The following is a 26,859-nucleotide window of genomic DNA, read 5'->3' as shown; positions in this document are numbered from 1 at the left end:
ATTGATTTGTTTTAAAAATATTGATTTTAAAAACAATGCAATTAGTTGATATTTATTATTGAAAAGTACTAGAATTTCACAATCTTAATAAATATTGATAATTATTTTCATTTAGAAAAATAAGACTGGTGTAGGAATGAAGAGAGAAGAAGGAGTAAGAAAGGCGATTGCTTTTTATTTTGAGTATTTTCTTTTCTTTTTTTTCTTTTTAGTAAAAATGGGGTCTTGCTATGTTGACTAGGCTGGCCTTGAACTCCTGGCCTCAAGTGATCCTCCTGCCTCGGCTTCTCAAAGCACTGGGTTTACAAATATGAGCCACTGTGCCCAACTTAATAATTATTTTTATGTCATATTGACAGGTTTTAGACTAATAAAACATTTTTATTTTGTTTATTATTTCAGATTCAGGGGTACATGTGCAGATTTGTTATAAGGGTATATAGCATGGTGCTTAAGTTTGGGCTTCTATTGATCCCATCAAAAGGATAGTGAACATAGTACCTAATAGGAAGCTTCTCAGGTCTTGCCCCATTCCCTCCTCCCTCCTTGAAGTCCCTAGTGTCTATTGTTCCCATGTTTACGTCTGTGTGTACCTAAGACTTAATTCCCACTTATAAGTGAGAACCTGTGATAGTTGGTTTTCTGTTTCTGCATTAAGTTGCTTGGGATGATGGGCTCCAGATGCATCCATGTTGCTGCAAAGAACATTATTTCATTCTTTTTTATGGCTGCATAGTATTCCATGGTGTACATATGCCACATTTTCTTTGTCCTGTTCATCATTGATGTGCACCTAGGTTGATTCCATGTCTTTGCTATTGTGAATATATTAGTGTATGTGTCTTTGGGTAGAATAATTATAATTTATTTTCTTTTGGGTATACACCCAGTAATGGGATTGCTGGGTCTCATGATAGTTCTGTTTTTTGAGAAATCTTCAAACCGCTTTCCACAGTGGCTGAACTAATTTACATTCTTACCAAGAGTGTATAGGCATTCCCTTTTCTCTGTAGCCTTGCAAAAATCCGTGGTTATTATTATTATTATTATTATTATTATTTATTATTATTTTGAGATGGAGTTTCACTCTTATTGCCCAGGCTGGAGTGCAATGGCACCATCTCAGCTCACTGCAACCTCCTTCTCCCGGGTTCAAGTGATTATCATGCCTCAACCTCCCGAGTAGCTGGGATTACAGACATGCACCACCATGCCCAGCAAATTTTTTGTATTTTTAGTAGAGACGGGGTTTCATCATGTTGGCCAGGATGATCTCGAACTCCTGACTTCAGGCGATCCACCTGCCTCAGCCTCCCAAAGTGCTGGGATTACAGGCATGAGCCACTGCATCTGGCCAAGATGTTTTCTAAAGTAGAATTTTGTACTCCTCATTAATACTTTTCCTTCCTGGCATCTCTTTAATTTCTTAGGGCACACACTGAGGCGGATGGCATCTCACTGTTAATCAAGAACAAAAAGCCTTAAATTATGCTAGAAACCACTATAGCAATGTCTGTGTCAAGAGGCTGTCTGCATATCTAAATGTACATTTCACAGTACAGCAAACACTTTTTTTGAACTACATTATCTGTCAGATTGCCTAAGGCACTGAAATAGAAAATTCCTAGTGCTTGCTGCATTTTGCTAGGTTATACATTAGTTTCTTTTGTTGATTTTTGCTATGAGAGGACCAAAAAGATAGATAGAAACCACAGTATCTGTTTTAATATTCTTTTTTTTTTTTTTGAGACAGGGTGACACTCTATCACCCAGGCTGGTGCAATCACAACTCACTGCAGCCTCAACTTCCTGAGCTCAAGCAATCCTCCCACCTCAGCTTCCCAAGTACCTGAGACCACAGGCATGTGACACCACACCTGGTGTATTTTAGTATTTTCTTGTACACAGAGGGTTTTGCCATGTTTCCCAGGTTGGTCTCAAACTCCTGGGCTCAAAGGATCCTCCTGCCTCAGCTTCCCAATGTGTTGTGATTACAGGCATGAACCACCGTGCCTGGCCTTAATATTCTTTTCTATTTGTAAATGGAAAGCTTCAGAAAAGACCCTCAAACAGGACTATAAATATTTTCACAATACTTTTTGGTACAGCCAGATATTAATAGTATATATAATGTAACTCAGTGGTCCCCATCCCTGGGCCATGGACAGGTATTGCCCGTGGCCTCTGAGGAACCGGGCTGCACATCAGGAGGTGAGTGGTGGCTGAGTGAGCATTATGACCTGAGCTCCGCCTCCTATCAGATCAGCTGCAGCATTCGATTCTCATAGGAGTACGAACCCCAATGTGAACTGCACATGTGAGGGATCTAGGTTACATGCACTTATGAGAATCTAATGCCTGATGATCTGAGGTGGAAAAATTTCATCCTGCAACTATCCTCCCTGCCATCTGTGGAAAAATTGTCTTCCAGGAAACCCATTTCTGGTGCCAAAAAAGGCTGGGGACCACTGATGTAACTTATATAACTGTATATCACATTTATTCTTTCCTTTTGACATATATCCTGAAATTAGGTGTGGACAGGCTGTGGGAGTTAAGTGTGAAATTAACTTAGTAAGTTAGACTCCCAGGACAATTCCACACTTAACTAAGCAAATGATGGCTATTCTTAACTGACAACGTCATCACCACCTGTCTCTTACTGACCGTAACGGTATAATAAGTATAAACGGTAGGAGCCCAGCCGAATGTCTTCCTCCAGCCCCACATCCAATGGCTGGGATGTGCACCCTCTTACCTAAGGTTGTGTATCCCCTTCTCTGCAGCTAGAACCCACTTGGCCTGGGTTCCATTCCCCACCGCAGAAAAGCCTTCTACTACTGACTGGACTGGAGAATGCATGCCTCAGTTCCGTTGTCCCCTGGCTGTGTAACTCTGAGGTCCATGTTCGACGTGGCTCCCCAGAGTTCTGTCATGGGAGTAAGCACCAGTCATCTGCAGTGTAACTCACTTGGCAACACATCCTTATTTTGTCTTCTCCCTGTTCCCTGTCCCATTCTGTCCCTCCTTGACCAATGCTTCCAGTCTCCTTGGGATCAAGTCCCAAATAAACTACGTGCACTGAAATCTTTGTCTTAAGTTCTGCTCCTGGGGGAACCCACACTGAGACGTGGTGAATCATCCATATTTAGGAGGAACTGGTGCCTGTTGAAAATGAATTGTTGTGTTTGCTGGAGAAAAATTCATCTGTTATGCTGGAAGCAAACAAATCCCACAAGAATACTGTATTGCCAATATTGTCTGTGTCTCTAGCTGTGCAGGTAAGGAGAGCTGCACTGACGCTAGAAGTTGCCAACACCTGTGAATGACTCTGTAGCCTTTTTGTGGGCCTCCACCTTGGAAGAGGTGGCAAATGCTTAGTAGTCTCCCAGGAGTCAACATGCCGGCACTCACACTGATCTCCATATCATTGTGGAGAGTCAATGTCAAGACCCTCTGCCCTTCAAAGCTGTCACATTGTATGTGCCTTAGATGACACCTGCCAGAAGCAAGCCAGGTTTACCTTTGGACACCAACAGCATTCTTTCCATTCATTCATCCTCCTGACTTATCAGACCCTGCTGTGAATGACTTGATTGTTCTTCAACTTCCAATTTACCCTCAAAATTTGAAGATTTTCTACCCGTTCAAAATAACTGATTTTGCCAATTTGGAAAGCAGCTCACAGAGATTTCTTGAATAAAAAAATATTGATCCATTTTTAGGAAGCGTGTATTTGGATGTGTCTGTTGGACATACCTATCATTTGTTGACATACCTATCACACTGTCTGGAATGACACCTCAGTTTTGTCCCTTTTCTTTCAAAGTAGGCCTTTGGGAATCACATTTACTTTTATATAGAAACATGATTTTTCCTCTCAAGAGCTTGTCTTTTGTATTTAGCAAAAAAAGCCTTCTCCATTCTTTAGAGAAAATCCCCAAATTGTGCAAAACCTCTGGAGAAAGCACTGAGCCCAGGAAACCAGCATTCCAAGAAAAAGACTGCACAGTGTCTGCAATTGTGTGCTGAACTGTTAAATGCAGATGTAGTGAAATTAATAGCTTTTTCAAAATGTACAACATAGTGAATGGGTGTTGCCAATACATTGTAATTACCCTGGACTTGTGTGAGGTGGATCCTTTGGATGAAAACTGGCTTTCTCAGATGAAGGGAATCCTCTCTGTGAATGAAGAAGACAAGGAGGAACATAGTATTCTTGGGAGAGGCTGCCCTGGTTTTCATGTCAGTGGTCCTTTAACCCAAAAGCCCACAGATGTTCTCCCTAACTAACCACAGAAAGTATAATTATTTACCACCCCCAAGAATCTTGCTGACTTTATTTTTTCACTGAGTTCTTGTTCAGAAACCAAGATTGAGAGGAATTACTCCCAGAACCAGTGTGCAGTACTCACCTTTGAGCCCTTTGAGCTCCTTGCTTTCTTTCACAGCTTGTTTTTTCCTGCCTGTTTTTCCTGTCTTCTTTCAGGCTAAGCCTCCCTCCTTTTGGTAGAGGCTTTTTTATACCATTTGGGAACTGGTTTGGATAAGCTACCTTAATGAAGGACGACACATCCCTCCAGAGATGATAAAAGACTTTTTGTCTTTTCTGGTAAGTCCTTTCTGGAATAAAGATCAGTGTCTTTCTGGATTAGTCTTGGTTTCTACAGATTTTACATTCTGTCTGTGAGGCATATATTCTAGTGAATTTACTTTCAAATTGGTCTGCATGCCTAGTTTAATATTTTGATCTGCATGTCTAGGTTAAAATTTTTGTGAACAATCTTATCTTGGGAGGCCAAGGTGGGTGGATCAGGAGGTCAAGAGATCAAGACCATCCTGGCCAACATGGTGAAACCTCGTCTCTATTAAAATACAAAAAAAAAAAAAAAATTAGCCAGGCATGGTGGCATGTGCCTGTAGTCCCAGCTACTTGGGAGGCTGAGGCAGGAGAATCACTTGAACCTGGGAAGTGGAGGTTGCAGTGAGCCGAGATTGTTCCACTGCATGAGAGCCTGGTGATAGAGCAAGAATCCATCTAAAAAAAAAAAACAAAAAAACAAACCAAAAAAAACCAGAATCGCATTCTCAAACATTAAGGCATGCTAGGTTTTCTGGGACTCCACCTGGTTATATATTATGGCTCATATTTTTAACTTGCTGGGAAAATTACATCAAGGAAAATTCAGATCTCCAATAGTCATTATTTGAAAAACCTGCAATTATAGAGTTAACATGTAGAGTTTTCTAAGTTCTCTGTATACCTCTCTCTGTCCTTCTTCTGCCCATTCACTGTTTATGGAATTCTGGCCTGTGTCCCAAATCTTAAAGAGTTTTCAAATTAATGGCTTTATAAATTACAACAGCTTCATGATATCAAGTGAGATAATCTTTAGAAATATAAATTTAATTCTAAAATACCGTGTGTTAAGAAAAAATAAGAAATATAAATTTAGGTTTACCTGACTTACAATTGTGTACAATGACAGAATACTTAATTAGAAGTTAATATAAGAGAAAAATAACTAGAAAAATATTTATGAAATTAGGCTCTCAGATCAAACAGGTCAAAATCTTGACCTTACAGCAATAATCTAAGGTATGTCTAGCACAAAAATTTTGCTATTTCTGCCATGCAAAAGCAAAAAATAAAAATTATAAATAATTTAAAACCGCTGAAAATCTTTCCTGTCCAGACTTGCTAGTCAAGCAAATCACACTGGCAAACAGAAAATAGATTTGCTACTAATTCAAGGTTACATGGAGATTTTATTTTTCTTATACAATTTATTGAGTCCCAGCTTAAATGTAAACATTGAAAATATAACCCTAAACTCATTTGAAACTTAAGCTGAAAAAAGTTTCTTAAAAAGTCAAACTGCCATGGAAACTGCTTTACCCAAACTGTGGTTCACAGCACTTATTAGATTACCTATCGTGGCAAATAAATTTTAGCCATGTTTTACATTTTGCCAAAAAATATAATTTGGGTTCAACTGTCTTTTATAAACTGGTGGATTATTTTACTATCTCATGACTAAAAGTCTAAAATAAAAGAACCATAAGATCTGTTATTTGTGTGTGTATATGTGGTCAGATGTGTTTGTGCATATACACATGTATTTTGTTATATGTTTTGTCTACATGGTAAAATCTGGTGTAGTGATTCAGAAATCCCTTAAGAAAGTCTGTTTAGATAAATGGCCTCATGAAATATACAATAATTAACCTAAATGCTTTTTAATTCATGTGACTTAATTAAATCTGTGATAAATAAACTGTTCTAAAATTAGTGGTAAAATAAAAATAGAAATATCTTCAAAATGGCCAGTGTACATTTTACCTGGGTTTACTGGTCAGATGGTTTTATATTTGTCTCTTCTAGAAATCTGTTATTATGTGGGCGGCAAGCCACCCAGGTGCCGAGGCAAGAGACTGAGGGCAAGAGCTGTTCCAGTGTAATAAAGAAAATATATAAAATAATAGCTATACTAGATATAGATCATACATATGATTATAAATGAATATCATTAATCATTAGTTTGTAGCAATTACTCTTTATTCCAATATTATAATAATCCTCACTCTGTAATCATAACCTAGGAAAAACCAGACCATACAGAGATAGGAGCTGAGGGGACATAGTGAGAAGTTACCAGAAGACAAGGGCTCCTTGGTCTAGCAGTAACGCCAGCATCTGGGAAGATGCCCGTGACCTAAGCGGACCGTGGTCTAGCAGTAGTGTCAGTGCCAAGGAAAAGCACCCACTACTTAGCAGACCAGGAAAGGGAGTCTCCCTTTCCCTGGGGGAGTTTAGAGAAGACTCTGCTCTGCCACCTCTTGTGGAGGGCCTGACTGATGTCAGGCCCACCGCAGTTATCCGGAGGCCTGACCATCTCCCTGTGATACTGTGCTTCAGTGGTCATGCTCCTAGTCCGCTTTCATGTTCCATCCTGTATGCCTGGCTCACCTTTTAGTTAGCAGTAGCAAAATTAGTGAAAGTACTAAAAGTCTCTGATATGCAGAAATAATGGCATAAGCTGTCTCCTCTCTGTCTCTCTCTCTCCCCACCTCAGCTGCCAAACAGGGAAGGGCCCCCATCCAGTGGACACATGACCCATGTGACCTTACCTATCATTGGAGATGGCTCACACTCCTTACCCTGCCCCCTTGTCTTGTATCCAATAAAAGCGCAGCCTGGCCTTTGGGGCCACTACTTGTCTCTGTGTCTAGGTGGTAGTGGTCCCCTGGGCCCAGCTGTCTTTTCTTCTTTCTCTTTGTCTTGTGCCTTTATTTCTATGATCTCTCATCTCCACACATGGGGAGAAAAACCCACAGACCCTGTGGGGCTGGTCCCTACATTATTAGTCATAATTTTGTTTTCTATGTTAACTTTTGCCTAGAGTTATATTTATGTGGATATGTTATATGGATTTTTATACCCATATGACTTTCTATATTGCTATAAAATTGTTCTCACCCATAAAATACTGATAATACTGATATGTGACAGATTTCCTGCTTCCTAAGTTTTCACTATAATTTAAGGTTACTACAAGTTTAAAATTCTAATTAATATAGGCCAGGTACAGTGGCTCATGCCTGTGATCCCAGCACTTCGTGAGGCCGATGTGGGTGGATCGCTTGAGCCCAGGAGTTTGAGACCACTCTGGGCAACATGGTAAAACCCCATCTCTACAAAAAATACAGAAGTTAGCCAGGCATGGTGACACATGCCTGTAGTCCCAGCTACTGGGGAGGCTGAGGTGGGAGGATTGCTTGAGCCCAGGAGGTTGAGGCTGCAGTGAACTGTGATTGTGCCACTGCACTCCAGCAAGGGTGGCAGATTGAGACTTGTCTCAAATAAAATAAAATAATAAAATTTTAATTAATATGGATAATTCTTTTTGTGGGGTGGGGGAACAGGATCCCACTCTGTTACCCAGGCTGGAATGCAGTGGCATGGTCATAGCTCACTGCAACCTCGAACTCTTGGGCTCCAGCAATCCTCCTGCCTCAGCCTCCCAAAGTGCTGGGATTACAGGTGTGAGCCACCATGCCTAGCCTAACTAATATATATAATTCTATATAAAAGTGTGCCTTAAAAAGTAGGATGAATTTTTAATAAGAAAAAATGTATAAGAAATGCATACAAATATGCTCTTTATTGAGAAAGAAGTAATAATTTTATATAATTTGGAGGTTATTTAAAGGTTGTTTCAAAATATTGATTCAGCAAAAAAACAGTGAAATGTTAAAGAAGAACCAGTAAGTAGAAGAGAGAGATGTGAAGAAAGTTATTGATAGGGAGATGGAGATAGGAGAAGGTTGAAAAGAAAAGAAATATTTCACATGACAAAGAATCTTGTGTGGTAAATTTTCATCCTAAACTAAAATGTCTAGTTATTTAAGAGGGAAAGTACAGGACAAAGTGGAAAGCCCAAGAATGTCACCAATGGTCTGAGTAACTCATTTGTGAAAGGGAATTTATGCAAGATGTTTTGCATGTGACCAAGTTGGTTACAATCAGAAGAAAATTAAATTCTTCTGAAAATTAATTTATTAGTTTTCTAAATAAAATTAGAAAAGTCTTTCTAAGGATTAAGCTTTGGCATTAAAAATACACTAATACAAACCTGAAAAACTGTGGTCCCCTATGTTAGAACAACAAGGTTTTCTTAAAGTATTGATTTAGTTTTCATAAAGTTGCAAGAGGTTTTGAGTTTTAATTCTGAAATCTGTTCCCTTAACAGCCATCTTCTAAACTACAGACAATTTCCATTTCTGTCAAATATCTTTCTGAGATCTATTTAATTTGCCTAGTTTGAGGATGGAGATTCAGCTCCCCTTTTTTCTTGCCTAAAAAGGCATAACATTGTGCTTGGCTGAGGTGATAACTTTCCTTCAACCTTTTGTCAACTCTTGTAACTTTTTTTCTGTGGTTCCAACTCTGCTGTTATGTCCTGATGGTGAAATATATGTCCTGAAAAATCTAGAAAAACAGTGTTTTACTCCAACATAACTTGAAATTAATAAAAGTCTGATTGTCCTGATGTGATGTAGTCAGTCATGATTCTGGTTGCATGAAATAAAAATAACCAAGTTTCATTGTCAATTAGGACCTTTGATCAGATTTTAAACCATGGCTATTCCAAGTTTTTGTCATTCACAGTTGTTTTGAAAATTTCTCCAAAAGTGTTTGCAATCTGCTGTAGTCCAAAACTGCTTTTCATAGAAAATAACAAATACTCTTGAACACAGAATTCCAATAAATTTTTTGAGACAGGGTCTCACTCTGTTGCCCAAGCTGGTATACAGTGGTACAGTCTTGGCTCACAGCATCCTCAACCTCCCAATCCTCTAATCTCAGCCTCCTGGATAATTTTTGTATTTTTTTTATAGAGATGGGATTTCTCCATATTGCCCAGGCTGATCTCAAACTCCCAAGTTGAAGTGATCTACCTGCCTCAGCCTCACAAAGTGCTGGGACTGCAGATGTGAGCCACTGTGCCTGGCAAAATTTTTGATAATTTAAGATCAGTAGACTAAATAAAAATCTCCAGAGCTCAAATAAATAAGCTGATGGATTTATAAAACTGTTAATCAAGATTAAACAAAACAAAACAATTACATGAAATTAAGTGGTTCACGAAGATGATGTTTTTATGACTTTTATTTGAAACATTATTGGTTCTGAAATATTTTGTTTTCCAGATTTAAGAAAACTTTATCTCGTAAGCTACCTATAGTTTACAAAAATTCAGTAAAGTATAATTTTTTGAACAAAGATGGAAGCATTCATTTTGTCTCCCTACTTGATTCCTCCAAAATTTGGAAACCATTTGTGAGTATTCTTCTATTTTTACTCAATAAATATCTGTTTCTCTTCATAAACAGAATACCATTGAAAACCTTGGTTATATTATTAAGGCTTTGACTGAAATATCATATTTAAGAATGTGCATAAAATGCCTGGCTTCCAGTGCTTCCAGCCTGACAGTGAATGAGTAAAAATTGTCACTTCCTGGCAGGCCCAAAAACTTTAAGATTGTAAGTAAAATCTAAAACCTCCCTTGCTTTGGCCTCAAGAGGTTTTTAAACCTGAACTTTCTGTAAATTAATGTAGAGAGAAAGTTCTGTTTCTAAAGAAAAACTATAATGCCTCTGTTAGTAGATTGTAAATGTGTGCATTCTTTTCAAGTTCTTGTTATCTACATGTAGATTATACTAGATCCTGAATTTTCCTAATGTATTTCTCCTAATTTGGCAACAACTCTCCAACTAAAGGCAAAAGCTGCTCTGTTACTAAAGCCCTATGAGCTGAAACTAGATAAATTTTAAAGAATAAACTTGTGCCTGATGTATGGATCACAGAAAGAGTGCACCAAACCAACTGATGTCATGACCAAAGACATTCAAACTACAAAGCAGGAGAAGTTAATGTTTTCATGCCGATTTTCCCAGGTCATTAGAACAGATTTTCCCAGGTCATTAGAACAAGACTCCACGTGATGAGATTTTTACCCCTCCTCCTCCTTAATGCTACATTTTTCACTTGGCAGAATAATGATGTGAATGAAAATTCACAATCAATAGCTTCTGCTCATAAGTATCCTTTGGTTAAATGAGAAAATGACTGTGTTATTGTCAATACTATATGCTGTACCTGGATAAATTTCTCTATGAAATTAGAAATTTATAGACACAAAAGAAGAAGACAGGCCATGTGGTTACACCATCTCACCTGATTCCTTGTGATCATTTGATTTATTCAATTAGTTGTCTGTAAGCCTAGGTTAATGGCTCAAAGCCATTATGCAAACTAGAATTGTCCTATTACTATTTACTTCATAATTTCCCTTTTTAAACTGTGTATCCATTACTTAAGTTTTTTTTCAAAAGTACAACTCCTAACAGAATAATACCAGTACAGCACTTTAAGATGATAGCAAAAGACTACAGAACAGACAAAATCGAACTTAATAATGAACTCCAGGTAGACTTAGCCTGAAAACTACTCCCTTCAAATTTCCCTTGTTGCTCCAAATATGCCTAAAAGGATTTTGACACTGACTCTTAGGTGCCAATTACCCCCTGCCTCAATGTGGGATGAGAACAAAAACCAAAATAGGTCCATCCTAGCACCAAGGGCCATCAAAACCAAACTTAAAGATGATTGATCAGTGATGCTTTTGGAAAAAGATCTGGAGCACAAAAGGGAAACGTGAAAGTTGTCTGAATCAAAATGGAGTCACTAGTAATAAGAAAACTCTGACAGCTCGAGCTGGGGAAGGCCATGAAGAGAGCATTCTCATGCGTGTATGCCTGATGATGAAAAAGATTCTACAAAAATTACAACCTTGCACAAAGTCCGTGACAACGTTATACAAAAAAAAAATTCTGTAAGGACATCTGCCCAGTAACTACTGCCTTCCAACCATGGACTGGCATCACGATTGTTATTGATTTTTGTAGCCAAGGATAATTATTTCAAAACAATTATGTAACCTTCCTCATTGTTTCCTTTGAAAACCTTTGTGTTTCATGTGATTTGGGTGTTTGCCCTCTCCAAATCTCATGTTGAAATGTAATCCCCAGTGTTGGAGGTGGGGCCTGGGGACATGACTGGATCATGGGTGCAGGTCCTTCATGAATGGTTTAGCACCATCCCCTTGGTGATAAGTTCTCACCCAGAGTTCATGTGAGTTCTGGTTGTTTAAAAGTGTGTGGAGGCTGGGTGCAGTGGCTCACACCTATAACCCCAGCACTTGGGGAGGCTGAGTTGGGCAGAATACTAGAGATCAGGAGTTTGAGACCAGCCTGGCCAACATGGTGAAACCACATCTCTACTAAAAATACAAAAAAATAGCTGGGTTTGGTGGCATGAGCCTGTAATTCCAGCTACTCAGGAGGCTGAAACAGGAATCGCTTGATCCCAGGAGGCAGAGGTTGCAGTGAGCCGAGATCACACCACTGCACTCCAGCCTTGGTGACAGAGTGAGAATCCATCTAAAAAAAAAAAAGAAAAGAAAAAGAAAAAAAAGAAAAGATGTGGCACTTCTCCCCTCCCTCTGTTGCCCCTGCTCTCACCATGTAATGTGCCTGCTGCCACGTCAAATTCTGCCATGAATAAATGTTTCCTGAGGCTCTCACCAGAAGCAGATGCCAGAACCATGCATCCTACAAGGCCTGTAGAACCATGAGACAATTAAACCTCTTTCATTTATAAATAACTCAGCCTCAGGTATTTCTTTACAGCAATGCTCTTCTCTGTATTGGCTATTCTAGTTATCCATTCGTCTAATTTTTTTTTCACAGTTTTTAACTTCTTTGCCATTGGTTTGAATTTCCTCCTGTAGCTCAGAGTAGTTTGATCGTCTGGATCCTTCTTCTCTCAACTCGTCAAAGTCATTCTCCGTCCAGCTTTGTTCCATTGCTGGTGAGGAGATGCGTTCCTTTGGAGGAGGAGAGGCACTCTGCTTTTTAGAGTTTCCAGTTTTTCTGCTGTGTTTTTTCCCCATCTTTGTGGTTTTATCTACTTTTGGTCTTTGATGGTGGTGACGTACAGATGGGTTTTTGGTGTAGATGTCCTTTCTGTTTGTTAGTTTTCCTTCTAACAGGCAGGACTCTCAGCTGCAGGTCTGTTGGAGTTTGCTAGAGGTCCACTCCAGACCCTGTTTGCCTGGGTATCAGCAGCAGTGGCTGCAGAACAGCAGTGGCTGTAGAACAGCGGATCTTGGTGAACCACAAATGCTGCTGCCTGATCATTCCTCTGGAAGTTTTGTCTCAGAGGAGTACCCAGCCGTGTGAGGTGTCAGTCTGCCCCTACTGGGGGGTGCCTCCCAGTTAGGCTGCTCGGGGGTCAGGGACCCACTTGAGGAGGCAGTCTGCCCGTTCTCAGATCTCCAGCTGCGTGCTGGGAGAACCACTGCTCTCTTCAAAGCTGTCAGACAGGTACATTTGAGTCTGCAGAGGTTACTGCTGTCTTTTTGTTTGTCTGTGCCCTGCCCCCAGAGGTGGAGCCTACAGAGGCAGGCAGGCCTCCTTGAGCTGTGGTGGGCTCCATCCAGTTCGAGCTTCCCGGCTGCTTTGTTTACCTAATCAAGCCTGGGCAATGGCAGGCGCCCCTCCCCCAGCCTTGCTGCTGCCTTGCAGTTTGACCTCAGACTGCTGTGCTAGCAATCAGCGGGACTCCGTGGGTGTAGGACCCTCTGAGCCATGTGCGGGATATAATCTCCTGGTGTGCCATTTTTTAAGCCCATTGGAAAAGCGCAGTATTAGGGTGGGAGTGACCCGATTTTCCGGGTGCCATCTGTCACCCCTTTCTTTGACTAGGAAAGGGAACTCCCTGACCCCGTGAGCTTCCTGAGTGAGGCAATGCCTCACTCTGCTTTGGCTTGTGCACCGTGCACTGCACCCACTGTCCTGCACCCACTGTCTGGCACTCCCTAGTGAGATGAACCCGGTACCTCAAATGGAAATGCGGAAATCACACATCTTCTGCGTCGTTCATGCTGGGAGCTGTAGACCAGAGCCAATCCTATTCAGCCATCTTGGCTCCACCCCACCCCAGATTTAAGAATGTAAACTAGCTTGCATCCCCTGGGACTCGGTAAGTATTGGGGACAATGAGGTGTATGGAGACAACTGCATTTCTTAATGCTCTGAGGGTTCTGACAAATCTGTACTTGCCATTAGGCTTTTTATCTGGTAACATGGGAGTATTGTAAGGGGACTCTTATGGCCTTAATAACTCATATGGCAAGAATTTGGTGCTAAGGGGTTGAATTTCCCCTCATGCTTCTTGCCTTAATATGTATTGTCTTTTCTGAGGGTGAGGAGCACTAGGCTGAAGTTGGATTTGAATGGGGAAGGTGTTTAGTGTGTTTCCCAGAGCCTGTGTGGCCCAAACCTCAAGATTTACTTGAGACAACACTTCAGGCAGTAAATGTGACAGCTCATTCTTAACTTCCCCTGAGGGGTCAGGAACAAAAGTAACACTTTCTATGCTTTATGATCTGTGAAGTTGACCATGACTTGGTCTTCTGAGTCAATAAACCTCTCCCCAGTAAGAGGTCAGGCATTCAGACAGTACTAAAAAGGCAGGTGAGAAGCCCAGAGGCCCTGGAGGACAACTTAGAAGATATGATAAGCAGTGTTTTGGGGCTTGTCCATCATGAGAAGACAGGAGCCCATTGTATTGAATCAGGACAGAGTCATCTGCTCCCATACCTAATATGAAGTTAATACTCCTATCTGCCACTTCAAGAGTCACCTGAGTCTCCTCCATCTCTCGATAGCTAATAGTCCAATGGGAGCAGAGGTAGGAAGTATCAGACCCTATCACTTTTGAGTCTGCTGGGCTCTGATGATGGCTCCCTTGGAAGCACAGTGCATTTCCTTCATCAGTGGCTGACCTTCTTACAGAAGGCACATTGATTTGTATCCAAGGCACAGTGGCTCAGAGGCACAGAGTGGGACTTTCACCTTCTCACCTCCTCTGTGAGGCCTGGGGCCCAGGGGCTGCCTCTGAAGTGGTGGAGAGCACAAGGCTGCAGCTAGAAGCTGGGCCTCTTGGGAGATTTGCTTTATTTTATGTTATCTCTGCCCTATTCCTGTGATGGAAAACTGCAAAATCCAAGTCTAAAATCTGATCCATGGGAGTCTGGAAGCCTAAGGCTGCTTTTGGTGTCTTCCTGCAGATATCAGAAGCAGACTGGGCTGTAAAATAAACTGCTAGCAATGCCTGTCCCTTCTTGGGGTCAGGGTCAGTGTTAGTGTATTTCCTCAAAGTCTAAATTATCCACCGTTTTAATAATGCTAGGTTTTCATCTTTTCCCTGAGTAATTTTCCAGACTTTATAAAAATTAAAAAGCTTTATCACACTTTTTTTTTATTCCTTCAAGGAGTCAAATGATTGTAATTTTTTCTCTCTATATCCCATTTTCTTCCTAATTCATTTGTCTTTTCTAGATTCTAGTTCTCTTCTGGGTCCTGGTCAGGCACTGGTGTGCCTCCTATTTGATAGGTGTCATGTCCCTGGTTGCAGGCTGCCACCCTATTAGCATGTACTCTAGCCACTCCCATAATGCACTGCTTTTCTACCATGCAGCAGGTAAACATAAATATATGCAAATCCTGCCTGGTCAGATTATACATCAAGGTTAGCCTCTTAAATTTGTCTATGAATTTTCCCAGAACCTCTGAAAATTGTTTTAGTTTTTCCTTGCATATGGCTAATTCAGACATAGAAAAGGGTACATATACCTATACAGTGTCCCTATTATCATCTGTCACTTCCCAGAGAGGGCAAACATTCAACTTTGCCAGCTGATAAGAGGCCCTACTGCATGTTGTTCCAGTGAAGCTCAGGTGTTTCGAGAGTGGGGTATATATGTAAGACAAGACTTGAAGGGGAGGGAGAAGAGGATGACCAAACACTAGATAACCCTGGAAAACTAGAAGAAATTAATAACGCGTTGCACACCTCACCAGAACTGGAAGGAGTCTGACTGGGTTCTTATGGGGTGCTTGAACTGGCAGGGGGAGTTCAGCCCCAGCCAAGAAAAGCCTGATATTAAGAGGCACTTGCATTAAAAGGGTAATCAATTATGTGCCATCCCTATTTTGTCTTTTCCTCCATCAAACATATAGAAGCCCATTTTAATTTTTTATCCTGACCAAGCATCAGAGAAGCCTGTATATAATGTATTTCCTCCCACTTAGTTTCTCTTCTGTAAAACAAATTAAGCTGCAAAATAGGAGTCAGATCGAACGGGGAAATGGGAAGGCTGTAACTTGTACATTGTAATGTATTAGTCCATTTTCACACTGCTGTGACAAAACTGACAAAACTCTTTCAGGAAAAAAGTGACATGCTGGGTTTAGAAAGTAGGGTACAGCTGCCCTATACCAGCTCATCAAAGATGACCTTATGGTTAAGAAATGAGAGAAAACTGTTAAGAAAAATTATGTTCTCCATCTTGAGGCTAATTGTTTGCAGAGGGTTGTCATAAAAGATGCTGCCACTAAACAGGCATATCTGATCTTATCATGTAGGGCTGTTAAATACCACATTTCAACTTCTAGTCATAATGATGGAGAGGTTACTGCTGATCTTTTCTGATAATTAAGGTACAAAAATACTAGGTTCCAAGACATCTCTCTTTTTTCAGTGTCACTTGGACCAGTGGCAAATTAAACAAGCAATCAGATAAAAGTCAGAGGATAGTTGAGGAAAGTAAAAGCTAAACTGTTTGGGGCCTCTTTCCTGGGGCAGCCTCCAGGCTACTACAAAACTGAGGCGCTGAGCAGAGAGGTGACAAGATGCAGAGCACTCAGGTGAGGGACAGAGAGCGGAAGGTGGACAGTCCAAAAAGAGAAAGTGGCAAACATCTTGTTTAGCCAAACCCATTCTTCTCAGTATTCCCAAGGGCCTCTAACCCTGTGAGCTTGGCCTCTAATCTGAATATGATGCCCCTGGGCCTCTAACTTTTGGGGCTGAGTCTCTCACCCTAACATTATGCCCTAGGGTCTCTCACTTAAATAATAGTGGATAATCGTTCTTGCCCGCCTGAATGGCTTCACGACTCTAAAAGATGGCCCACTTGCCAGCTGATTGATTCTGTGTGGATTGTTTTCCTTGGAGTGGGGGTCTTGTCTTGGCGTCCCTTCATGATATTGCCGAAAGATGTTGCTGGAAAAGAGGGTCCTGATACAGACCAAAAAGTAGGATTCTTAGATCTTATGCAGAAAAAATTTGAGGTGAGTCAGAGAGCACAGTGAAAGAAGCAAGTTTATTAGAAATGACTCCATTACAGAGTTGGACATCCTCAGAAAACAAGAGCAGGAGTGCATTGTCTTTTGTTAGTGTCTCTACTTATAAGTAACTATAAAGAGAAAGAGTTATAATTAAACTTGGAAGGTGCAGATGTACTCACTAAAGTCAAGGCTATTGGTTTTAACAATGACCATTAACCCACTGTCCTAAGCTAGCTCATTAATATTATCCTTACAAAAAATGCTACACTCCTAGGACATTTATACATTTTTCAGGCTTGGTGGAAGATGTCTTGTATGGCCACAGATATTCTGCAATTGTAATTTGTGGCCAGCTAAAAAATGTGGCTATTTTCAGACCATGAGTATTAACCTTCTAGATGCCTTGTGAGTACCTAGCTACTCATATTAAGATAGAGTATTCTGGTCATGTTTGTTAAACTAGAAGGTTGGTAGCCATGAGTCCCTCTAACACAGCAAGTCTACTCCTCAAGGAGAAAATGTATTTCTTAGGAACTTTGTGCATTTTGTTTGATGGAATTTGGTATGTTTACCAAAATGGCAGAAAACAGTAAAATTAGTCCTCAAAGATTTCTCAAGATTGGATATAAACAAAATGATAGTTAATATGGAAGTTGATACAGTTGATATTCAAAAGAAATTTTGTTTGAAACACAATGAGATTTTTATTTTTATTTATTTATTTATTATTATTATTATTTTGAGACAGAGTCTTGCTCTGTTGCCCAGGCTGGAGTGCAGTGCACCATCCTGGCTCACTGAAACCTCCATCTCCCAGATTCAAGCAATTCTCCTGCCTCAGCCTCCCAAGTAGCTGCGATTACAGGCATGCATCATGACACTCAGCTCATTTTTGTATCTTTAGTAGAGATTGGGTCTCACTCCATTGGCTGGGTGGTCTCAAACCCCTGAAAACAAGCGATCTGCCCACCTTGGCCTCCCAAATTGCTGGGATTACAGGCATCAGCCACCGCTCCCAGCCACAATGAGGTTTTAAAATAATTCTGATTTCCTGCTGTTGAGCAGGGAGCTGAGCAAATTCAACAGATTCATGGGCTTAAAGTAGGAGAAGACTGAGGACAAACTCTAGAATGCATGTGATTAAATTAACTACAATTGAAACCAAATCAAATTTAATAAGGCTGTACCTCTTAGTTTCAAGATGTTTCCCCTCGTTTTGAAATGTGTTATTCAGTGGAAAAGAAAACTAGTGTTTGTCTCCAGAGTAAAGAACAGGGTTCCCTGCAGGGATTGATTGACTGAGAGCTATGGCTTAGGATTAAAAATCCTTCTTTTTTCCACTTATAAACTAAAAATAAATTTTTAAGCCCCTATTGACTAAATGAACCCCTCTTCTTGGATAAGGACATTCCAAAGTTAACCTTAAAAGCTAGTTCAAGCCATGGGTCACACATGCCTCATTATACTCTCCTCCCTTTGCTTTTAATTTTAATTTCAATCTTTAATTTATTTTTGTGGGTACATAGTTGGTGTATATATTTATGGGGGTACATGACATACTTTGACACAGGCATGCAATGAGTAATACATAATAAAAAATGGTGTATCCATCCCTCAAGCATTTATAGCTTGTGTTATAAACAATCCAATTATACTCTTTTAGTTTTTTTAATGTATAAATTATGTTTTACTATAATCACCCTGTTGTGCTATCAAATACTGTCTTATTCGTTCTTTCTAACAATTGTTTTAACCCATTTAGCACCCCCACTATCCCCCTGTTCCGTCACTGCCCTTCCCAGCCTCTGGCAACCATCCTTATACTCTCCATCTCTATGACACCTATTGTTTTGAATGTTAGCACCCACAAATAAGTGAGAACGTGTCACATTTGTCTTTCTGTGCCTGACTTATTTCACTTAACATAAAGACTTACAGTTCCATTTATGTTATTGCAAATGGTATACTCTCATTCTTTCTTATAGCTGAATAGTATTCCATTGTGTATATGTACCACATTTTCTCTATCCAGTCATCTGTTGATGGACATTTAGGTTCCTTCCAAATCTTGGCTATTATAAACCCTGCTGAAGCAAACATGAGAGTGCCAATATGTCTTTGATTTACCAATTTTATTTCTTTTAGGCATATACTGAGCAGTGGGATTGCTAGACCATATAGTAGTTCTATTTATAGTTATATCAGGAACATCCAAACTGTTCTTAACTGTGCTCCCAACAACAGTGTACAAGGGTTCCCTTCACTCCACATACTCACCAACATTTGTTTTTGACTGACTTCTGTATAAAAACAACCTTAACTGGGGTGAAATGATATCTCATTTTGGGTTTGATTTGCATTTCTATGATGATCAGTAATGTGGAGCACCTTTTCATTTGCCTGTTTGACATTTGCATGTCTTCTTTTCATAAATGTCTATTTAAATTTTTTGTCCACTCTTTAATTAGATTATTATATATTTTCTATATAAGTTTTTGAACTCAATATATTGTAGTGTATTAGTCTGTTTCTGCACTGCTATAAAAAAATACTCGAGACTGGGTTATCTATTTATTTATTGAGATGAAGTCTTGATCTGTTGCCCAGGCTGGAGTGCAGTGGCGCAATCTCTGCTCACTGCAACCTCCGCCTCCTGGTTCAAGCAATTCTCTGCCTCAGCCTCCTGAGTAGCTGGGATTACAGGCACCTGCCCGCACACCCAGCTAAATTTTGCCCCCATGCCTGGCTAATTTTTGTATTTTTAGTAGAGACGGGGTTTCACCATCTTGGCCAGGCTGGTCTTGAACTCCTGACCTAGTGATCCAGCAGCCTCGGCTTCCCAAAATGGTGAGATTACAGGCGTGAGCCACCACACCTGGCAAGACTGAATAATTTATAAAGGAAATGGGTTTAATTAACTCACAGTTCCAAATGGCTGGGGAGGCCTCAGGAAACTCACAATCATGGCAGATGGGGAAGCAGGCACCTCTTATATGACACCAGACGAGAGCATGTATGTGAAGCAAAGGGGGAAGAGTCCCTTATAAAACCATCAGATCTCATGAGAACTGACTCATTATCAGAAGAACAGCATGGGGGTAACCACCCCCATGATCCAATCACCTTCTACCAGGTCTCTCCCTCAACATCTGGGGATTACAATTCAATATGAGATTTGGGTGGGGACACAAAGCCTAATCATATCAGGTAGCTATTAATTGCTTTTCAGATGGATAATTTACAAATATTTTCTCCCATTCTGTGGATTTTCTCTTCACTTTGTTTATTGTTTCCTTCACCTTAAAAAGGCTTTCTGACTTGCTTTAATCCCATTTGTCCATGTTTGTTTTGGTTGTCTGTGCTTATGGGGCATTATTTAAGAAATTTTTGCCCAAACCAATGCCCTAAAGAGTTTCTCCAATGTTTTCTTGTAAAAATTTGATAGTTTGAGATGTTATGTTTAAGTCTTTATTTCATTTTAATTTGATTTTTGTATGTGGCAAGAAATAGGATTCTCGTTTTATTCTTCTGCCTATGGCTTGCCAGTTTTCCCAGCCCTATTGATTACAAAACCTGTCTTATTTTTTATTGTATGTTCTTGGCACTTTTGTTGAAAGTAAGTTCAGTTTAGCTGTATGAGTTTGTTTCTAAGGTCTCTATTTCATTCCATCTGTCTTTATGTCTGTTTTTATGCTAGTGTCATGCTGTTTTAATTACCATAACTTAGTGGTATAATTTAAAACCAGGTAATGGAATTCCTCCAGTTTTGTTTTATATACTCAGCATAGCTTTGACTATTACGGTGTTTTGCGATGGTTCCATATACAGTTCAGAATTTTTTTTTCTATTTCTGTGAGGAATGTCTTTTTTTTTTTTTTCGATGGTGTCTCACTCTGTCACCTAGACTGGAGTGCAGTGATGTGATCTTGGCTCACTGCAACCTCTGCCTCCTGGGTTCAAGCAATTCTCTGCCTCAGCCTCCTGAGTAGCTGGGATTACAGGCACCCGCCACCACACCCGGCTAATTTTTTTGTATTTTTAGTAGAGATGGGGTTTCACCAAGTTGGCCAGGCTGGTCTTGAACTCCTGACCTCATAATTCACCCATCTCGGCCTCCCAAAGTGCTGGGATTACAGGCATGAGCCACTGCCCCTGGCCTGTTATTTTGATAGAGATGGCATGAAATGTATAGATTGCTTTGGATTGTATGGACATTTTAAAAAATACTGATTCTTCCAATCTGTGAACATAAAAATATCTTTCCAATTTTTGGGTCCTCTTTCATTTCTTTTGTCAGTGTTTCACAGTTTCAATTGTTGAGAACTTTTATTTCTTTGGTAAATTCCCACACATTTTGATTCATTTGTGGCTACTGCAAATAGTATTACATTTTTGAATTCTTTTTCAGTTTGTTGACTCTTGGCATATAGAAATCCTACTGATTTGTATATGTTGATTTTGTATTCTGCAAATTTACTCAAGTTATTACTTCTAATAGTTTTTTGGTGGATGTATTAGGCCATTCTCACATTGCTATAAAAAATAATCAGTGACTGGTTAATTTATAAAGAAAATAGGTTTAATTGGCTCATGGTTCTACAGGGTATACAGAAAGCATAGCACTGGCTTCTGCTTCTGGGGAAGCCTCTGACAACTGACAAGGTGAAAAATAAATCTGGTGCTTGCACATCACATGGTAAGTGTGAGGGCAGGGGGGAGGTGCTACACACACTTGTAGATAACCAACTCTCATGAAAGCTAACTATTGTGGGAATGGCACCAAAGGAAATGATGCCAAACTGTTCTTGGAAATCCTGCTGTCATGATTCAATCACCTCCCCACTAGGCCCACTTCCAACATTGAGGATTACATTTCAATATAAGATTTTTGTGGGAACACACACCCAAACTATATCATTTTGCCCCTGGCCATTGCAAATCTCATATCCTTCTCATATTTCAAAATACAATCATGACTTTCCAATAATCCCCAAAGTCTTAACTCATTTCAGCCTTAACTGAAAAGTCAAAAGTCTCATCTAAGACAAAGCTAGTTCCTTCCTCCTATAAGCCTGTAAAATAGAAAACAAGTTAGGCACTTCCAAGATACAAATGGGGCAGTGGCATTGGGTAAATAATCCTATTCTAAAAGGAAGAAATCAGCCAAAAGAAATGGACCACAGGACCCATGAAAGTCTGAAACCCAGAATGGCAGTTACTGAATTGTAAGGCTCCAAAATAATTATTTTTCACTCTGTGTCCCATTTTCAGGGCACACTAATGCCTTGGGAAGGTTCTACCTTGTGCCTTTGCATGGTTCAGCCCCCACAGCTGCTCTCATGGGCTGGCATTGTGTACCTCTGGCTGGTATTGTGTGCCTCTGGCTTTTCCAGGTGCAGGGTGCAAGCTGTAGCTAGATCTACCATTATGGGGTCTGGAGGACAGTGATCTTCTCCTCGCAGATCTCCTAGGCCATGCCCCAGTGGGGAGCCTGCCTAGGGACTGTCACCCCACATTTCTTTTCTCCATTGTTTTAGTAGAGGTTCTCCATGAGGGCTCCACCCCTGCAGAATGCTTCTGCCTGCACACCCTGGCTTTTTCGTACATCCTTTGAAATAAAGGTGGAGACTCCCAAGTCTCAACTCTTGCATTTTGTACACCCACAGGCCTAACACCACATGGAAGCTACCAAGGCTATGGCTTGCACCCCCTGAAGCAGTGACTGGAGTTGTAACTGAGTCAATTTGACCTACACCTGGAGCTGAAGCAGTGGCCAGGATGCAGGGAGCCATGTTCCAAATCTACCCAAGGCAGCATGTCCTGGGCCTGATCCCAGAAACTATTCTCTTCTTTTAGGCCTCAGGGCCTATGATGGGGGACTGCCTTTTAGATTTCTAAAGTGCCTTCAATTCCTCTTTCCCATTGTCTTGGCTATCAACACTTGCTTTTTTTTTTAGGTTATACAAATATCTCTAACAAGTAGTTGCTCCATAGCCTGCTTGAGTTCCTCTCTTATAAAAGCTTTTTATTTTTCAGCCACATGACTAGGCTGCAAAGTTTTCAAGCTTTTACACTATGCTTCCCTTGTAAGCTTAAGTTACAACCTTTTTTTTTTTTTTTTGCTAGAACATGTGAGCATAGGTTGTTAGAAGCAGCCAGGCCACATCTCAAATGCTTTGCTGTTTAGACATTTTTCCAACAGAAACCCTAAATCATCAATTTCAAATTCAAACTCTTATATATCCCTAGGGCATGACAGAAATTCAGCCAACCACTTTGCTAAGACAACATGCGTGACCTTTGTTTTGGTCCTAATTAGTTTCTAATTTTCATCTGAGACCTCCTCAGCCCAGCCTTCACTGTCCAGATCACTATCAGCATTTTGGTCACAGCCATTCAACCAGTCTCTAAGAAAATCTCAACTTTCTCTCATTTTTCTGTCTTCTTCTGAATCCTACAAACTCTTCCAACCTCTGCCTATTTACCCAATTACAAAGCTGATTCCACATTTTCAGGTATTCTTATAACAATTTTCCACTCCTTGGTGCCAATTTTATGTATTAAGCTATTTTTGCATCACTATAAGAGTGGGACTGGATAATTTATTTTTAAAAAAGGAGGTTTAAGTGGCTCCTGGTTCTACAGGCTGTAGAGAAGACATAGCACTGGCATATGCTTCTGGGGTGGCCTGTGGAAGTTTACAGTCATGGCAGAAGTTGAAGCAGAATCTTGCACATCACACAGCAAAAAGCAGGAGTGAAAAACAGAGGTGCAAGTTGTTACACACTTTTAAATAACCAGATCTTATAGGAACTCACTTACTATTATGAGGATAGTACCAAATGGGATGGTGCTAAGCCATTTATGAGTAATCCACCCCGATGATTAAATCACCTTTCACCAGGCCCACCTCCAACATTGAGAATTACATTTAAATATGAGATTTGGGAGGGGACACATATTCAAACCTTATCAGAGGAGTCTTTATGTTTTTGCCAATATAAGATTATATCATTGGTAAAAAAAAAAAGATAATTTGACTTCTTTTCCAATTGGGATGCCTTTTATTGCTTTCTCTTGTCTGATTGCTCCAGATAGGACTTTCAGAATTATGTTGAATAACAGTGGTAAAAGTGGACATTCTTGTCATCTTCCAGATTTTAGAGGAAAGGATTTTAGTTTTTCCCCACTTAGTATGATACTAGCTGTTGGTCTGTCATATATGACTTTTATTATGTTGAGGTATGTTCATTCCATACCCAGTTTTCAAAGGGTTTTTTATTATTAAAGAATATTAAATTTTATCAAATTTTTTTAGTATAATTGAAATGATTATATGGATTTTGTCCTTGTTTTTTTTTTTTTTTTTTTTTTTTTGAGATGAAGTCTCCCTCTGTCACCCAGGTTGGAGTGCAATGGTGTGATCTCAGCTCACTGCAACCTCTGTCTCCTGGGTTCAAGTGATTCTCCTCCTTCAGCCTCCCGAGTAGCTGGGATTACAGGCACCCACCACCGTGACTGGTTAATTTTTGTATTTTTAGTAGAGACAGGGCTTTGCCATGTTGGCCATACTGGTTTAGAACTCCTGAACTCAGATGATCTGCCCACCTCGGCTTCCCAAAGTGCTGGAATTACAGGCGTGAGCCATTGTGCCTGGTCCCTTCATTCTGTTTATGTGATGTATCACATTGATTGATTTGCATGTTGAACCATCCTTGCATCCCTGGGATAAATCCCACTTGGTCATTATGAATTACCTGTTTGTGTGTTGTTTAATTCAGTTTGCTAGGTTTTTTGCAAATTTTTGCATCAATATTCTCAGATATGGGCCTGTAGTTTGCTTTTTTAATGTGTCTCTGTCTGGTTTTGATATCAGGGTAATACTAGCCTCAAAGAATGAGTTTGGAAATGTTCTTTCCTTTTCTATTTTTCAGTCTGGTCCTACAGACTTTTTTAATTAAGGCTTTAATTTTGTTAATTGTTATTGGTCTGTTCAGGTTTTAGATTTTTTCCTAGTTCAATCTTGGTAAGTTGTGTTTGTCTAAGAATTAATTTCCTGTAGGTTTTCTAATTTGTTGGCACACAATTGCTGATAGTAACCACTAATGATCCTTTGATTTTCTGAAGCATTTCTTGTAATGTCTCCTTTTTCACCTCTGATTTTACTAATTTGTATCTTCTCTGTTTTTCAGTTAGCCTGTCTAAATATTGGTCAATTGTTTTACTTTTCAAAAAATCAACTTTTTGTTTATTAGTCTTTTGCATTGTTTTCTTCATTTTAACTTTATTTACTTCCGCTCTAATCTTTATTATTTCTTCTAATTTTGGATTTGGCTTGGCCTTTTTCTTCTAATTAATTAAGATGTATTGTTAGGTTATTTATTTGAAGCTTTTCTGTTTTTTATGTTGGCACTTACAGTTATAAATTTTCCTTTTATAATAGTACCTCTTTTACTATATTCCATAGGTTTTGCTATGCTGTTTCCATTATCATTTGTTTCAAGAAATTTTTCTATTTTCTTCTTAACTTTTTTATCGACCTACTAATCATTCAGGAGCATATTGTTTAATATCCTTGTGTTTGTATAGTTTCTGAAATTCCTTTTTTAATTGATTTATAATTTCATTCCCTGTAGTCAGAGAAAATGCTCAATATTACTTCAATTTTTTGGAATGTCTTTAGACTTGTTACTTAACATATGGTCTATCCTTGAGAATAACCCATGTGCTGAGGAGAAAAATGTATATTCTGCAGCTGTTGGATGAAATTTTCTGTAAATATCTAGTAGGTTCATTTGTTCTGTAGTGCAGATTAAGTCTGATGTTTCTTTGTTGATTTTCTATTTGGAAGGTCTATCCAATGACTAAAGTAGGGTGTTGAAGTGTCCAGCCATTATTGTATTGAGGTCTCTTTCTTTAGTTCTTATAATATTTGGTTTATTTATCTAGGTGCTTTAGTGTTGGGTGCATATATATGTTCAATTATTATATCCTCTTGAATTGATCTCTTTATTATTATATAATGACCTTTTTAATCTCTTCCTACAGTCTTTTGTTGAAATCTATGTTTGTCTGGTATAAGTATAGCTATTTCTGCTCTTTTTTGGTTTCTGTTGGCATGTAATACCTTTTTCCATCCTTTTATTTTCAGTCTAAATATATCTTTATAGGTAAAGTATGTTTTTTGTAGGTCACAGATTATTGTCCTGCTTCTCTATCCGTTCATCCACTATTTTTCTTTTGACTGGAATATTTAGTTCATTTACATTCAGTGTTATTATTGATAAGCACTTACTCCTGCCATTTTGTTATTTGTTTTCTGATTGATTTTTGTCCTCCCTTCTTTCCTTTCTTCCTGTCTTCCTTTTAGTGAAGGTGATTTCTCTTGTATTATAATCTAATTTCTTGCTTTTTACTTTTTGTACGTCTGTGGTACACTTTTTGATTTGAAATTACCATGAGGCTTGAAAACAATATAATACATGATTTTAGACTGTGGACAATTTAACACTGATTGCATCAACAAAGAAACAAGCAAAACAACTAATAAAAACTATACTTTATTGCCATTCTTTTAACCTTTTTGTTGTTTCTCTTCATTCCCTATTTTACTGTCTATGTCTTGGAAATATGTTGTAGTTATTATTTTCATTGGTTTATTGTTTACTCTTTCTAGTTGAGATTTTTGCACCCAATAATTACCATGTTATAATATTCAGTGTTTTTCCATGTGCTATTGCTAGTGCGTTCTGTACCTTCAGATGATTTCTTATTGCTCACTAACTTTTTTTCTTTTAGGTCTAGAAGTCCCTTTGGCATTTCCTGTAGTAAAGGTCTGGTGTTAATGAAATCCCTCAGTTTTTGTTTGTCGGGAAACGTTCTTATTTCTCCGTCAAGTTTAAAGGACGTATTTGCCAGATACATTATTCTAAAGTAAAAGTCTTTTTTTTCTTGAGCTTTTTTAATATGTCACGCCAGTCTCCCAGCCTGTAAATTTTCCCCTGAAAAGTCTGCTGTCAGATGTATTGGAGTTCCACTGAATGTTATTTTTTTCTCTTCTCTGGATGCTTTTAGAATCATTTCTTTATCCTTAACCTT

The 26,859-nt window shown here is 39.3% G+C and overlaps 1 protein-coding gene and 1 pseudogene across 2 annotated transcripts in view; both read left to right on the top strand.

The window, feature by feature from the left end:
- The window catches only part of ZNF717 (zinc finger protein 717), a 90,849-nt gene extending 64,519 nt beyond the window's left edge, over positions 1–26,330 (top strand). The window contains exons 6-8 of one of the 2 annotated variants that reach the window (XR_007090409.1): positions 4,490–4,612; positions 9,715–9,844; positions 21,364–26,330. Coding sequence is in view for 1 of the 2 variants with exons in the window: in XM_047447041.1 (XP_047302997.1) it covers positions 4,490–4,494 (5 nt within the window). In the remaining variant the exon portion in view is untranslated. Of the gene's footprint in view, positions 1–4,489; positions 4,652–9,714; positions 9,845–21,363 lie in introns of those variants that run through there. The other variant, XM_047447041.1, reaches the window with a different exon arrangement.
- Positions 7,717–8,019, top strand: RN7SL92P (RNA, 7SL, cytoplasmic 92, pseudogene; annotated as a pseudogene).

The sequence above is a fragment of the Homo sapiens genome, chromosome 3 (assembly GCF_000001405.40).
Source record: "Homo sapiens chromosome 3, GRCh38.p14 Primary Assembly".
Classification (NCBI taxonomy): domain Eukaryota; kingdom Metazoa; phylum Chordata; class Mammalia; order Primates; family Hominidae; genus Homo; species Homo sapiens.
The sequence above is the reverse complement of the archived record's forward strand: the minus strand, read 5'-3'. Positions and strand labels throughout refer to the sequence as shown.